Source organism: Homo sapiens, chromosome 7 (genome assembly GCF_000001405.40).
Source record: "Homo sapiens chromosome 7, GRCh38.p14 Primary Assembly".
NCBI lineage: Eukaryota > Metazoa > Chordata > Mammalia > Primates > Hominidae > Homo > Homo sapiens.
The window spans coordinates 107,314,300-107,328,161 of NC_000007.14; the positions used below are offsets into that span (position 1 = coordinate 107,314,300).

Genomic DNA, 13,862 nt, shown 5'->3' on the forward strand with positions numbered 1-13,862 from the left:
AGATAATACTGTTTCTTATTCTTGATGCTGTACTTGATCTTAGTTATACAGATGTTTTAAAATTTGAAAAACTCATCTAGGTGTGAAATTATGATATGTACACTTTTTCTTAATGAGTATTATAGCTTAATAAATACTTTTTTAAAAGATTAATGGAAGTCTGGCTGGGCACAGCGGCTCACGCCTGTAATCCCAGCACTTTGGGAGGCCGAGGCGGGCAGATCACGAGGTCAGGAGATAAGAGACCATCCTGGGTAACACGGTGAAACCCCATCTCTACTACAAAAAAAAAAAAAAAAAAAAAGCCAGGCATGGTGGGCGTGCCTGTAATCCCAGCTACTTGGGAGGCTGAGGCAGGAGAATTGCTTGAACCCAGGAGGCAGAGGTTGCAGTGAGCCAAGATCGTGCCACTGCACTCCAGCCTGGGCAACAGAGTAAGACTCTGTCTCAAATAAAACAAAACAAAACAAAGACTATTGGAAGTCAATGCAGGATTTTAATCAGAAAATGACATGATCAAATTTGTTCTGCCAAACAGAACATCAAAGCACTTACTTGATAGCTAGATTTACTTTCTTCCAAGGTATATAAACTTTTAGTACTTTCCTAAAAGATCCCTCTTATCTCAAGCCCTTAACACAAATTGCAAGTTTTCTTTTTGTGTTACAGTGTTAGGATGGTACTTTATAGGCTCATTAGAACTATGTAACAAAATACTTCCATTGCAAGGATCAAAATTCTAAAAAGTACTTTAAATGAGTATATTAGGTTTATCTCCCTAAGTATATACATATTAAGGTAGACATTAATTTTCAAGAAATATTCACAATATGATCTCAACTTGCATACTATTCTAATCTTTTTTTTTTTTTTAAAGAACATACATTCTCATATAGTTTGTTTTATCTCCCTAATTCTTGGAAAGATTTGACTCTTTATCACTATATGTTTTAAAAAGGTAAAGATAATGAGCTTTAGTATACAGTATTTCAAGCCTTAAAACTTTTAAAATCTGGTAACACATATATCTCAATGTATCTCTTATTCATTCTTGGTTTGGGAAGCCAAGTATTACAGATATATAACCATGTTAGCACTCTAACTTGTATGAACAACTTCTTTGAGTGGCTTAAGAGTTTTCAGAGACTAATACTGCACAAGGGGTTTTAGACATGTAAAAAGAGATGTACTTGCTAGATTTTTCAAGCATACTTCCAAAAAGAAGTAAATTTATTGTCAAGCTCTTGGATTACCTTCTAATAGAACTTTTTTTTTTTTTAACTAAGCATGAACATGTATAATCAGAAAGAACATATTCCTAACTAGGAACATTTTCCTTTAGATATACTTTGCCAAAACATTACTTACTTAGACAATCTGTTACATTGTGTGTAATCCTCAACTCTGCAGATGGTTGCACTTCCTTAATATTGCCTGTCTATAATTCTAAGAAGTACTACAGTACACTTCAGGGACTGTATGTGCTATAAAAATTGAAGGTACTTTATAAACAACTTACTTTGGAGTTCTCCCAAAGGAAGTTATTAAAGTAATTATGGTATTAGAAGTAGCAGGCTATTCCTAAGGTGAAATATTAATGGGATTTTCTGTCTACATATTGTATGTTTCCTGTCATTAGCTTCTTTCACTATACAAGACAGATAGGTCCCATAAGATAAGAACTGAAAACATACGCTGGCAATTAAAAAGTAGGTCATTGCTTCCCTTAATGAGAACAATTTCAATAGAATGATGGAAGACAGCCAGATTACACCTAGTTGAGAAATCAACAGAATGAAAATGAACACCAAAAAATGCAAACTACTCTTTGGAGAAATTTACATAAAAAGAGAGAGAGTAAACAGCAACTAAAGAGGAACTTTCTAGTTTTGTTTTATTTTTTATTACATGGGAGCAACATGAATAGGTTTATAGCTGAGGAAAAGAAATTAAAAGAGAAGGAGAAATCCAACACAGAAAAAGGAGAAATATAAATGATGATGCTAGGAGAGAGAAATAAACAGAGTAGGTCTGGGCACCAGGTAAATGGGTGACCTTGAAGAAGAAGTTAAGTTATCTTCTGAGGCTCAAAGGGAGGAAATAAGGCTCTTATTTGGAAGAAAGGTACAGGAAAAAATTTCTTAATGACATTAATTGTCCTAATGACCCAGGAGATAAAGGAAGACATGTGGAGAATACTGAAGGTTTGTAATGGTTAAGAAAAGAAAAGCAGGCAGGGCGTGGTGGCTCTCGCCTGTAATCCCGGCACTTTGGGAGGCCAGGGCGGGCGGATCACGAGGTCTGGAGATTGAGACCATTCTGGCTAACACAGTGAAACTCAGTCTCTACTAAAAATACAAAAAAAAAAAAAAAAAAAAAAAAATTAGCCAGGCGTGGTGGCGGGCGGCTATAGTCCCAGCTACTCGGGAGGCTGAGGCAGGAGAATGGCGTGAACCCAGGAGGCGGAGCTTGCAGTCAATGGAGATGCACCACTGCACTCCAGCCGGGGGGACACAGTGAGACTCTGTCTCAGGAAAAAAAAAGAAAGAAAAGCAGATAATCACTGACAAGTAAATGGCAGTATCACTAAATAAACGTACACACACACTCCCATATAATATTCTGAAATATACTTTTAATCATTATTTAAATTTGAATCATTAAATATTTTAATCACTATTTAAATCATCATGACCATAAGCAAAAGTTTCTCATTGAAATTTTAATGAGGAACTTTTGCTTATGGTCACAATGATATGATAGGGACCAGATTTACCAACCTATCTGAAACAACAAAAAATACACAATATATGAAAGATGGCTTTCAAGACATTTAACATGCAACATAGGACGGTGATTCCTCAGAGTCAGGAAACAAATGAGATGAACCCTATGAGTGCCCCAGCTCATTACCTTAAAGGACTTTCCAGGCCATGGCACGGAAAGAGGGAAAATACCCTTCCTTCTATCCCCTCCCAGAACAGCCAAACAGAAACAACTAGAGTTCACAAAATAGAATACCGGAGAGAACAGAGGCGCATAGACAGAGAATTCCAGAGATGTGCAAAGGGTTCCCTTTGAGTATTCAGCAAAGCACTGATCAGCATTAAACTTCCAGAGTTTGGGGGAAAACTATGAAAAAGGTTTAGAGGGAACATCCTGTTACATTCACATAAGATTGAGAATAATCCCTATTCTCTAAAGCCAGGCTGGAAAACCTCATAATTCACAGGGTAATAATTTGAGGGTATTAAGAAGAATGTTGCCTCATAACTGGGAAATAAATAGCAGATTATTACTGCTTTGAATTTGCTAATAAATCTTAAAGCAATATTCAAAAGGATCAAACTGTCTTTAAGTATCTGATACTATCAGTATTAGAGATGACAAAATTAATCAGCCCCAAACAAGGTTAAGTTCATGTTTAATATCCAATAAAAATTATTAGACATGCAAATAAGTAGAAAAATATCAGGTCTGATGGAAAGAAAATTCAACCAAACAAAAACCCGGAATTAACATAGATGTTAGAATGAGCGGACAAGGGCATTTCCATCCCGGTCTTATTCTGTGGAGTTCAACTTACTTATTGTTTCTGTGATTTCCTTAGTTTACCTTCTACGATTTTACTAAAAATGTTCTAAAACAATAAATAATAAACAATATCGGAAGATATAATGGTTAAAGGCTTGAAATTTTTAAAGTATGCTAATGGCTTTTTTCTTTCTTTCTTTCTTTCTTTTTTTTGATACAGAGGTTCGCTCTGTTGCCAGGCTGGAGTGCAGTGGGGCCATCTCGGCTCACTGCAACCTCCACCTTCCAGGTTCAAGTGATTCCCCTGCCTCAGCCTCCGGAGCAGCTGGGACTACAGACGCGTGCCACCACACCCAGCTAATTTTTTGTATTTTAGAAGAGACAGGGTTTCACCATGTTGGCCAGGATGGTCTCAATCTCCTGACCTTATGATCTGCCCACCTTGGCCTCCCAAAGTGCTGCGATTACAGGCATGAGCCATAGCACCTGGCCGCCAATGGCTTTTTTCTTTGTAGATTCCTGTCATATTGAGAGACGAAATATTCAAAGTACAAATTAAATGTACTCATTTAAAGAAAGAAAATAAAATGATAGCCACCCCAAGGTTTTAAAAAACTTTTTAGAGTGATAAAGCACATTTTAAATTAATATGTGACAACAGATGCATTGCAACTACAGCCATAAATAATTTTTTGTTTTTGATTTTTTGGCTTAAACAGCAAAAATTTATTTCTCACAGTTCTGGAGGCTACATACAAGTCTAAGATCAAGGTTCTGGTAGGGCTGAGTTTCTCTTCCTGACTTGCTGATGGCCTCCCTCTTGCTAAGTGCTCTCATGACCTTTCCTTGTGCCTGTGTACATAGAGAGTGAGTAAGCTCTCTCGCGTCACTTCTTATAAGGACAGTAATCCTATAAGATCAGGGCCCACCCTTGTGACCTCATTTAAACTTAATTGCTTCCATAAACGCCCTATCTCCAAATACAGTTACACTGGGGGTTAGGGCTTCAGTGTATGAATTGGAAGAGGTGGCACATAAACATTTAGTCCATAACAAAAATGTTTCACATATTTTCAACAACTATTTTTTTCTAACTTTTTTCTTTTTCCCTTCCTCTCTTGGCTCTGAAACTCCAATTACACATATGTTAGATTGCTTGATGTGTCCCATGGGTCCTAAGACTCTAATAATTTTTTAAGTTTGTTTTTAAATCTTGGTCCTTCATTCTGAATTATGTCTATGGCTGTATCTTCTAGTTCACTGATTTTTTTTTTTTTCTTCTCAGGGTTAAATCTGCATTTAATTTCAGATACTATATTTTTCATATGTGGAGGTTCCATTTGATTCTTCTTGATACTGTCCATTTATCTCATTATATGTTATTTTTAAAATATTTGAGCACATTTATAACATTTATAAGAAGTGTTTTAAAATTCCTAGTCTGCTTATACTACTGATACTTCAGCTTCTCTGTTTCTACTGGTTATGGTCTCATTTTCCTGCTTCTTCTCATGTCCACTCATTTTAATTGGATGCTGAATATGTGATACTATATTGTTAAGTGACAGATTTTGTTGTAATCCTTTAAAGAGTTCTGGAATCAGTAAGAATGGCAGACTATATATTGATTCCCATTTTTTTGTGTGTGCAGCTGTCTGGAAATTGCCAGGTAGAAAGCTGCGGTGATTTTAGCGTTCAATTTGTTTTGGTTTATCTGAGATCACAGTTCTATATTGCCTGTTGCCCAATGTCTGAAAACAGGTGTTTCACAAATTTTACTCACTGTTCTAGTTTATAATGGGAGAACATCTAAAGTAGCAGTTACCTTTCCATGTAGGGAAGTAAAAGTCCATTAAATGACCTTTTTTCTTTCTTTTCAAAATTTACGTGATTTAGGATCCAACACAACTAATCTCTAATTTATTATGCTGAGTGACTGAGTGATAAGAAACTGGTTTTCTCCAGTTTCAAAAAACATCACCTGCTGGGTGTGGTAGTGCTCTTGTAGGCCCAGCTACTCAGAAGGCCATGGCAGCAGGGTCACTGGAGGCCAGGAGTTCAAGGCTGTAGCGTGCAATGACTGTGCCTGTGAATAGTCACTGCACTTCAGCCTGGGAAACACAGTGAGACTCCATTTCAAAAAACAAAACAACAACAACAAAAAAAACTGAAAAGTATAATTCTTTAGAAAAGAGTGAACACTCTGATGTTGTAGAGTGTGACATGTTGGAAAAGACCCATGCAGGCAAGCTTAGGGCTAGACAAATGAGAGATAAGGAGAATGAGGTGGCAAGACGGCATAGACAAGATAAAAAATTGTGTCAACACTGAAAAATTGGTGACTCTGTGAAGTTTTGTTATATAAATAGTAGAAGACAGATGTTGATTTTACCTACCTTATGCTGGAATAATTACTTATACTATTTTAAATATTTTTAAAGTGTGTAACTAAAGGTTAGACTATGTGAGCGATGGCTTAATAGCAACAACAGGGATTTATATCTGTTTACATAAAACTCTGCAATGACAATTTTCCTTTTAGAATATCTTTTCTATGCAAAATGCCATAGATCATTCAAACATCCATGGAAAACTGGCAATGCTCCTGGTTCCCCTCTTAGTGTGAATGGTAGGAAATATAATCTTGTTTTGTTCGATTGAATTTTTATCTAAACATCAGCAACACTAAGAGATCTCAAGATTCAGTAATCAGCACAAGGAAACCCCAACCAGCCTAAGTCATGATGCATATCAAGGGTGTCTTTCTGGTTGTCCAAGTCTAAAACTGGTTGCAATTGCAGGTTAGGTTGGTCAGTAAAAGAAGATCTATTTCATTGTCTAGTATCTTAAAGGATAAGTACGGAAAGAGAGATCAGAGGGAGGTATAATTAAAGGTATAAATATAGGTCCCCTCTGTCACACTGTAAAATGAGACCCTCTCCATAATTACAGGACTCTCTGAGAGAAAGGAGATGATAATGCTTAAGAAAAACTTCACACTGATGTTTTTGGAAGCTCAGTGAACAGAAAACCATGATTGGTTAAGTACAGACATCCTTTCCTTCCCAGTAAACTGAGTCCAAACAAAGTTAAAACAGGACTTCTTCTACACCCCCACCTCCCAGTAATGATTACCATCAGAAGGCACCTCTTTATCCAATTTAGACATCAGGGTTTCAAAGGGCTTCCATAAGTGAGTTTTACATTTGCTTTCTTTTATTCCAAAAACTGAGACTTTCATATTTGTAAGAAATCACCAATAACTACTAGAATAAGTAAGACTGGCAAAGTCAGAGGACACAAAGTCAAAATACAAGTATCAATTGTATTTCTCTATTTTAAAAATCAACAATTATAAAGTAAAATGAAAAAATAACATATAGAATAGCATCAAAATATATAAAACAGTGATAAATTTAAGAAAAGATTTGTTAGAACTGCATGCTAAAAACTATAAAGCATTTATAAGAAAAAATGTAAAAGTCCTAAATAAATAGAATAATACAGGATGTGGATCAGAAGACTCAATATTAAACTGTGAATTCATCACATATTGATCTGTAGATTCAATGCAATCCTCATCAAAATCCCAGGAGTCAATTATTGGAGGAACAAAATTCTGAAACACATATGGAAATGCAAAAGACCTATGGTAACTAAAATTACTTTGATAAAGAAGAACAAAATAGGAGGACTTTGACTACTGTGACGAAAACCCTGTTGTACTGATGTAAACATAGACATTCAGAAAAATGGAACCAAACAGAGTCCAGAAATAGTCTTACTTATAGATAACCAAATGATTTTCAACAAAAGTTTCCAAGAAGTCAATAGGCAGAGAATAATGTTTTGGAGCCATATGTTCTAAAAGAAATGAATGTTGAGATAACTCATAACATACACGAAAATTAACTCAAACCTAGTAAAACTTCTAAAATAAAATGTAAGAGGAAATGCTTCTGACTTTGGATTAGGCAATAATTTTTAGGTCAAAAAAAAGTACAAATTATTTAAAACTTTGATAAACTGAATTTGATCAGGATTTAAAACTTTTGTCCTTTGGAAGGCACTGTTAAGAAAACAAAAAGCCAAGCCACATTCTAGGGGAAAATATCTTCAAAACATGCAACTAAGGAAGTACTCTGAACCCAGAATATGCAAAGATTCCTTGGGACTCATTAAGAGAACAAGAAATACAATAAAAACAGAGGACAATCCTTTAGACAAACACAAAACCAAAAAAGTTATACAGATGGCATCTAAGCCTGTGAAAATGTGGTCAACATCTGCTATGGTCTGAATGGTTTTATCTCCCCAAATTCATATGTTGAAACCTACTCACCAAATGTGATGGGGTTAGGAAGTGGATTCTCTCAGAGGTGATGAGGTCAGGGGGAGAAAATCCTCATGAATGAGATTAGTGCACTTACAAAAGAGGCTCAGATAGCTTCCCTATCCTTTTCTAACACGTGAGGACACAGTCAGAAGGCACAGTCTATGAACCAGGAAGCAGGCCCTCACCAAATACTAAATCTTCCAGTACCTTGATGTTGGACTTGCCATTTCTCCAGAACTGTGAGAAATAAATTTCTGTTGTGCATAAGTTGCCCAGTCTGTGGTATTTTGTTGTAGCAGCCCAAATGAACTAAGAAAGCATCATTAGTCTAGTGGAAGCTAAAACCCCAATAAAAAAAACTAGTACACACCCACTGGAATGACTAAAATTAAAATAACTGACAATATCATGGATTGGCAAAAATGTGGAGCAACTGGAACTATCACACATTGTTGATGGAAATGCAAAATGGTATATCCATTTTGGATTATAGCACTGCAGTTTCTGTAAAGTTAAACAACATTTACCAAATAATTGAGCAATTCCACCCTTACATATTTGCACAAGAGAAGGAACACATATGTCCACAAAAGAGATATATGTATGTAAATAACTGTAACTTTATTCATAATAATCCAACTTGTTTCTCAACTGCAGAATGGATAAAAAATTGTGGTATATATCTACACAATGGAATACAATTCAACAATTTAAAAGGAAATGGACTACCGATATATGCAACAACATGGAAGAATCTTAATTATGCTGATGATCAAATAATGCATACTATATGATTCTAGTTGTTGCCAGGACCCAGGGAGTGAAGGTAGCAGATAAACTGCAAAAGTACATAAAGAAAATTTGGGGATGATGGAAATGTTCTATATCTTAATTGTAATGATGGTTATATGAATGTAAACATTTGTCAAACATCATAGAATTTTATGTTTAAAATTGGTGACTTTTACTGCATATAAATTATATCTCAATAAAGCTGAGCAAAAACAAAAACCAAGGAAATATACGATATTTATTCCCTCCCAAAATGAGCAGTGTGATTCACAAGTAAACGGAACAGGCCGGGCGCAGTGGCTCATGCCTGTAATCCCAGCACTTTGGGAAGCCAAGGCGGGCCGATCATTTGAGGTCAGGAGTTCGAGACCAGCCTGACCAACATGGTGAAACCCCGTCTTTACTAAAAATACAAAAAAATTAGCCAGGAGTGGTGGTACATTCCTGTAGTCCCAGCTACTAGGGAGGCTGAGGCAGGAGAATTGCTTGAACCCAGAAGGCAGAGGCAGCAGTGAGCCGAGATCACGTGACTGCACTCCAGCCTGGGTGACAGAGCAAGACTCCGTCTGGAAAAAAACAAAACAAAAGAAAACGAAACACTACAACTAAATGGAGTAAATGGATCCTAATATCCCATTAGGTTAAGTTCTGTTTAGCTACAAATGAATGAAGACCTCTTTGTGGTTACTGTCTTACTACATACTTCATTAGAAATAAGTAGAGAGACAAGCAGACTAGTTTATTTAACTCTGGTCAGTGTAGGGAGGGCAGTGGCTAAATAATATTTAGCATACAGTAAGTCCTTCTAGTAAATGCTTGTGAATAAAAATTTAAATAGAAATGAACTCTTAACACTTTTTAAAGGCCTAGGTACATTATATGCTCTTACCTAAAGTATTTAGACAAACACACGCGTAAGATATTAGCTGGTTTGCATATTTCATTGTATAGATCTACCAGTCCATTATTTCATGATATAAAGAAATTAAGAAAAAGTTTTGTGGAACATATTTGAATGACCAACTTTTAATTCACGATGTAGATATTTCACCTGTTTATTCATTAAATCTTCATTTTTAACAATAAAAAATTTGCAAAGCCTCTGTATTTTTATATCTTTTAGTTATACACTAATTCTAAAAGCATGAACTAAATTTTTCAACATTAACTGCTTTACACACTCTACGTAGGAAAAATTCAGACAGAGTTCTTCTGATGTCTGAATAATAAGATATTGACTTATTTTTCTGGAGAATTTTATTCTAAATATTAATTACTAAAATGTGTAAAAATTTTGTTTACTGAATATATGTCTAGGAGATTCCAGATTAAACATCTAGACAAAATAACAATTAGCCAGGAATTTTAAAATAGCAATAAAAATGTTTTGTAAACCAATACAGCAAAGCTTCTTGACATCAAATGATAAAATAACTTAAAACTTTGAAATTAATTTTCAAAATAAGTAGTAAACTTACAGTTTGTTGCCATATGAAATTGAGAAGAAAGTGCCTGAGTAACTGAATTCCAAAATGTGTAGAAAATTTCCGGTTGTCCATCCTGTGAAGAACAAACAAAAATTTTTTAAAAATAAAAAAATGCATTTATTTTAAGAAATCATAATGGGTAACACGTAACCTTGAAAAGTTATTTAAAATTTAAATAAAAATTTTAGACATCTAACCATCAAACAATAGAATTATTAATTAAATGGAAATACAAAGATGATTCAAATTATGTCTTATGTTCAAGTAGTCAGTCATTCTTCTTCTCTGCCACATAATAGCTGGTGTAACCTTGGGCATGTTGCTTAGCCATTCAGGGCCTTTGTTCTTCATATGAAAAATGGTGATAACATTGCAGGATAATTATGAGGATTAAACAAATTAATAAAAGTCTTGGGACAATGCCTGAAATACAATAAACTCAATGAATGTTAGCTATTATTATTACATAAATTATTACTCTCATCATCATTTTTTAAATACGGAGGGCAATTTGTGTGACTATAACAAAATGATAGACAAAAGCCTGCTTACAACATGCTTGTTAGGATAACTAACAAGAAATAATTCACTATTACAAAAGAGAATGGCTGAAGCCTAGATATAGTTTTAAAAAAACTCAAAGGAATTGCTACTACTCAGTTTAGCATGATACTTTCAACTTTGAATATATGTTTTAAAAAGTAAGCACTATAAAGAAAAGACAAATATTAATTAAAGTATCATTTGTTAAAGAAAGACAAAGAACTTTAACACTGTTAAAATAGAATCACACTCTTAGAAATTTTGCCAAATACTTTAAGATACATCCACATGTGTGGTATACAATATAATACTGCCAATATTCTACTATTTTTGCAGCCAGAAATGCCAACTTCATATGGTTCAAAGTAATATTTTAAGACTGGGCACAGTGGCTCACAACTGTAATCCCAGCACTTTGGGAGGCCAAGGCGGATGGATTACCAGAGGTCAGGAGTTTGAGACCAGCCTTGCCAACATGGTGAAACCCTGTCTCTACTAAAAATACAAAAATTAGCCAGGTGTGGTGGCGCATGCCTGTAATCCCAGCTACTAGGGAGACTGAGGCAGGAGAATCACTTAAACCCAGGAGGCCGAGGTTGCAGTGAGCCAAGATTGCGCCACTGCACTTCAGCCTGGGCAACAGACCAAAACTCAGTCTCAAGAAGCAAACAAACAAACAAAAAAGTAAGAGTAAAAATAAAATAAAATATCTCTAATGTTAAAATATTGCTACAGTCCCAAAAATAAAATTATAATTTTGGACAAGTGAACAAAATGACCAATGAAAAATACTGATTTGTGACTTTTATACCTGTGTACACTTCCATTTTCATTAATTGTTCCTTTTTAAAATAAGTCTTATGGTTGTAAATTTACTCAAGAACTGTTAATCATAAACAAGGCAAATCAAATCATTGTTGATTTCTTATGCAACGATCAGAAAATACATTCAGATTCCTAAGATTTTATGTATTATGTCTTGCATATCTTAGTTTAAAGTAGATGCTTTTCATCATGTTAAGGAAGTATAATATACCACATTAACAGAATGAAGGACTAAAACCACATGGTCGTCTCAATTAATGCAGAAAAAGCATTAAACAAAATTTAACACCATCTGATGATAAAAACACTCAACAAACTAGGACTCGAAGGAAATTACATCAACATAATAAGGGCCACATAAGAAAAATCTGCAGCTAACATCCTACTCCATGGTGCGAAACAGAAAGCTTTCCCTCTAAGATCAGGAACAAGGCCAGGATGCCCACTCTTACCACTTCTATACAATATAGTACTAGGAGTCCTGCCAGAAGGACCAAGCAAGAAAAAGAAATAAAAAGCATCCAAATTGGAATGGAAGAAGTAAAATTATATCTGTTTCTAGATGATATGATCTTGTATGTAGATAATCCTAGACTCCTCAAAAAGGCCTGTTAAAATAATAACTGAATTCAGCCAAGTTGTAGCCTACAAAATCAACACATAAAAATTAGTGTGTTTCTACAAACTAACAATGAAATAGCCAGAAAAAAATGAAGAAAACTACCCTACTTTTATAACAGTATCCAAAAGAATACTTAAGAATAAACTTATTCAAGAAGGTAAAAAACTTGTATACTGAAAACTACACGATATGGTTGAAAGAAATTAAAGAAGACACAAGTAAATGGAAAGCATACTGTGTTATGGGTTGGAAGACCTAATAATGTTAAAATGTCCATACTCCCCAAATGATCTGCAGATTCTCAAAATCTCAATGGCATTTTTGCAGAAATAAAAAAATACTAAAATTAATAGAGAATCTCCAGGGATCCCAAATATCCAAATATCTTTCTTGAGGGAAAAAACAAACAAACAAAGCTAGAGGCCTCAGACTTCCTGACTTCAAGACATATTACAGAGCCAGGTGCAGTGGAACACACCTGTAGTCTCAGCTACTTGGAGGATGAGGTGGGAGAATTGCTTGAGCCTAGGTGTTTGCAGCCAGCCTGGGCAACAAAGGGAGATCCTATCTCTAAAAACCCAAATAAAACCCATCCAAATGGAAAAAACCATATTACCAAGCTTCAGGAATCAAAACAGTATGGTACCAGCATAAAGACAGACATAGGGACCAATGGAGTAGAGAGACAAAAAAATAAACGATCAAGTATACAGTCATACAATCTTGAACAAGGGTGCCAAGGCTACACAATAGGAAAAGGACAGTCTCTTCAATAAATGCTGCTGGGAAAACTGGATATACGCATGCAAAAGAATAAAGTTGAAACTTTACCTCATACCATGTATAAAAACTAACTCAAAATGGATTAAGGACCTAAACCTAAGACCTGAAATTATAACTCCTAGAAAAAAAACATAGGAGAAAAGCTCTGTGACACTGGATTTGGCAATAATTCTTGTATAGGACACCATGAACACAGGCAACAAAAGCAGAAATAGACAAACTGGACTATACCTAACTTGAGATTTTCTGTGCAGGAAAGGAAACAATCAATAGAGTAAAAAGGCAACCTACAGAATGGGGGAAAACATTTGCTAACCATATATCTAATAAGGAGTTAATATTCAGAATATATAAATGGCTCTGACAATTCAACAATTAAAAAAACAAATACCATGATTAAAAAACAGGCAAAGGACTTGAGTAGACACTTCTCCAAAGCAAATAAATAAATGGCTGGCCAACAAGCACATGAAAAGATGCTCAATATCACTAATTATCATGGAAATGCAAATCAAAACCATACTGAGATGTCATCTCACATCCATTAGGATGGCTACTATAAAAAACTGGTAAATAACAAGTCTCAGCGAGGATGTGGAGAAACTGGAAATTTTGTGCACTGTTGGTAGAAATGTAAAATAGTGTAGCCACTATGGAAAACATTAGGGAGGTTGCTCAAAATTACCATATGATCCAGCAATTCCACTTCTGGGTATATAAGTAAAAGAGCTGAAAGCAGGATCTTGAAGATTTATTTGAATACTCATGTTTACTGCAGCATTATTCATAAAAGCCAAGAGATGATAACAACCCAAATGTCTATCAAAGAATGAATGGATAAAGAAAATGTAGTATATTCATTCAGTCATGCATTTCTGAATGATAGGAATGTGCCTGAGAAATGCCTCAGGCAATTCTGTCATTGTGCAAAAATCACAGA

At 35.0% G+C, this 13,862-nt stretch overlaps 1 protein-coding gene across 10 annotated transcripts in view; it reads right to left on the minus strand.

The window, feature by feature from the left end:
* Positions 1–13,862, minus strand: part of COG5 (component of oligomeric golgi complex 5) — a 362,549-nt gene that overhangs the window by 112,928 nt on the left and 235,759 nt on the right. For 9 of the 10 annotated variants that reach the window (NM_001379516.1, NM_001379511.1, NM_001379512.1 and 6 more), the window contains one exon: positions 10,141–10,222. The exons of the other annotated variant lie outside the window; for it this stretch is intronic. In NM_001379516.1, coding sequence (NP_001366445.1) covers positions 10,141–10,222 — 82 coding nt within the window. The remainder of the gene's footprint in view (positions 1–10,140; positions 10,223–13,862) is intronic. 10 annotated transcript variants of the gene reach the window in all.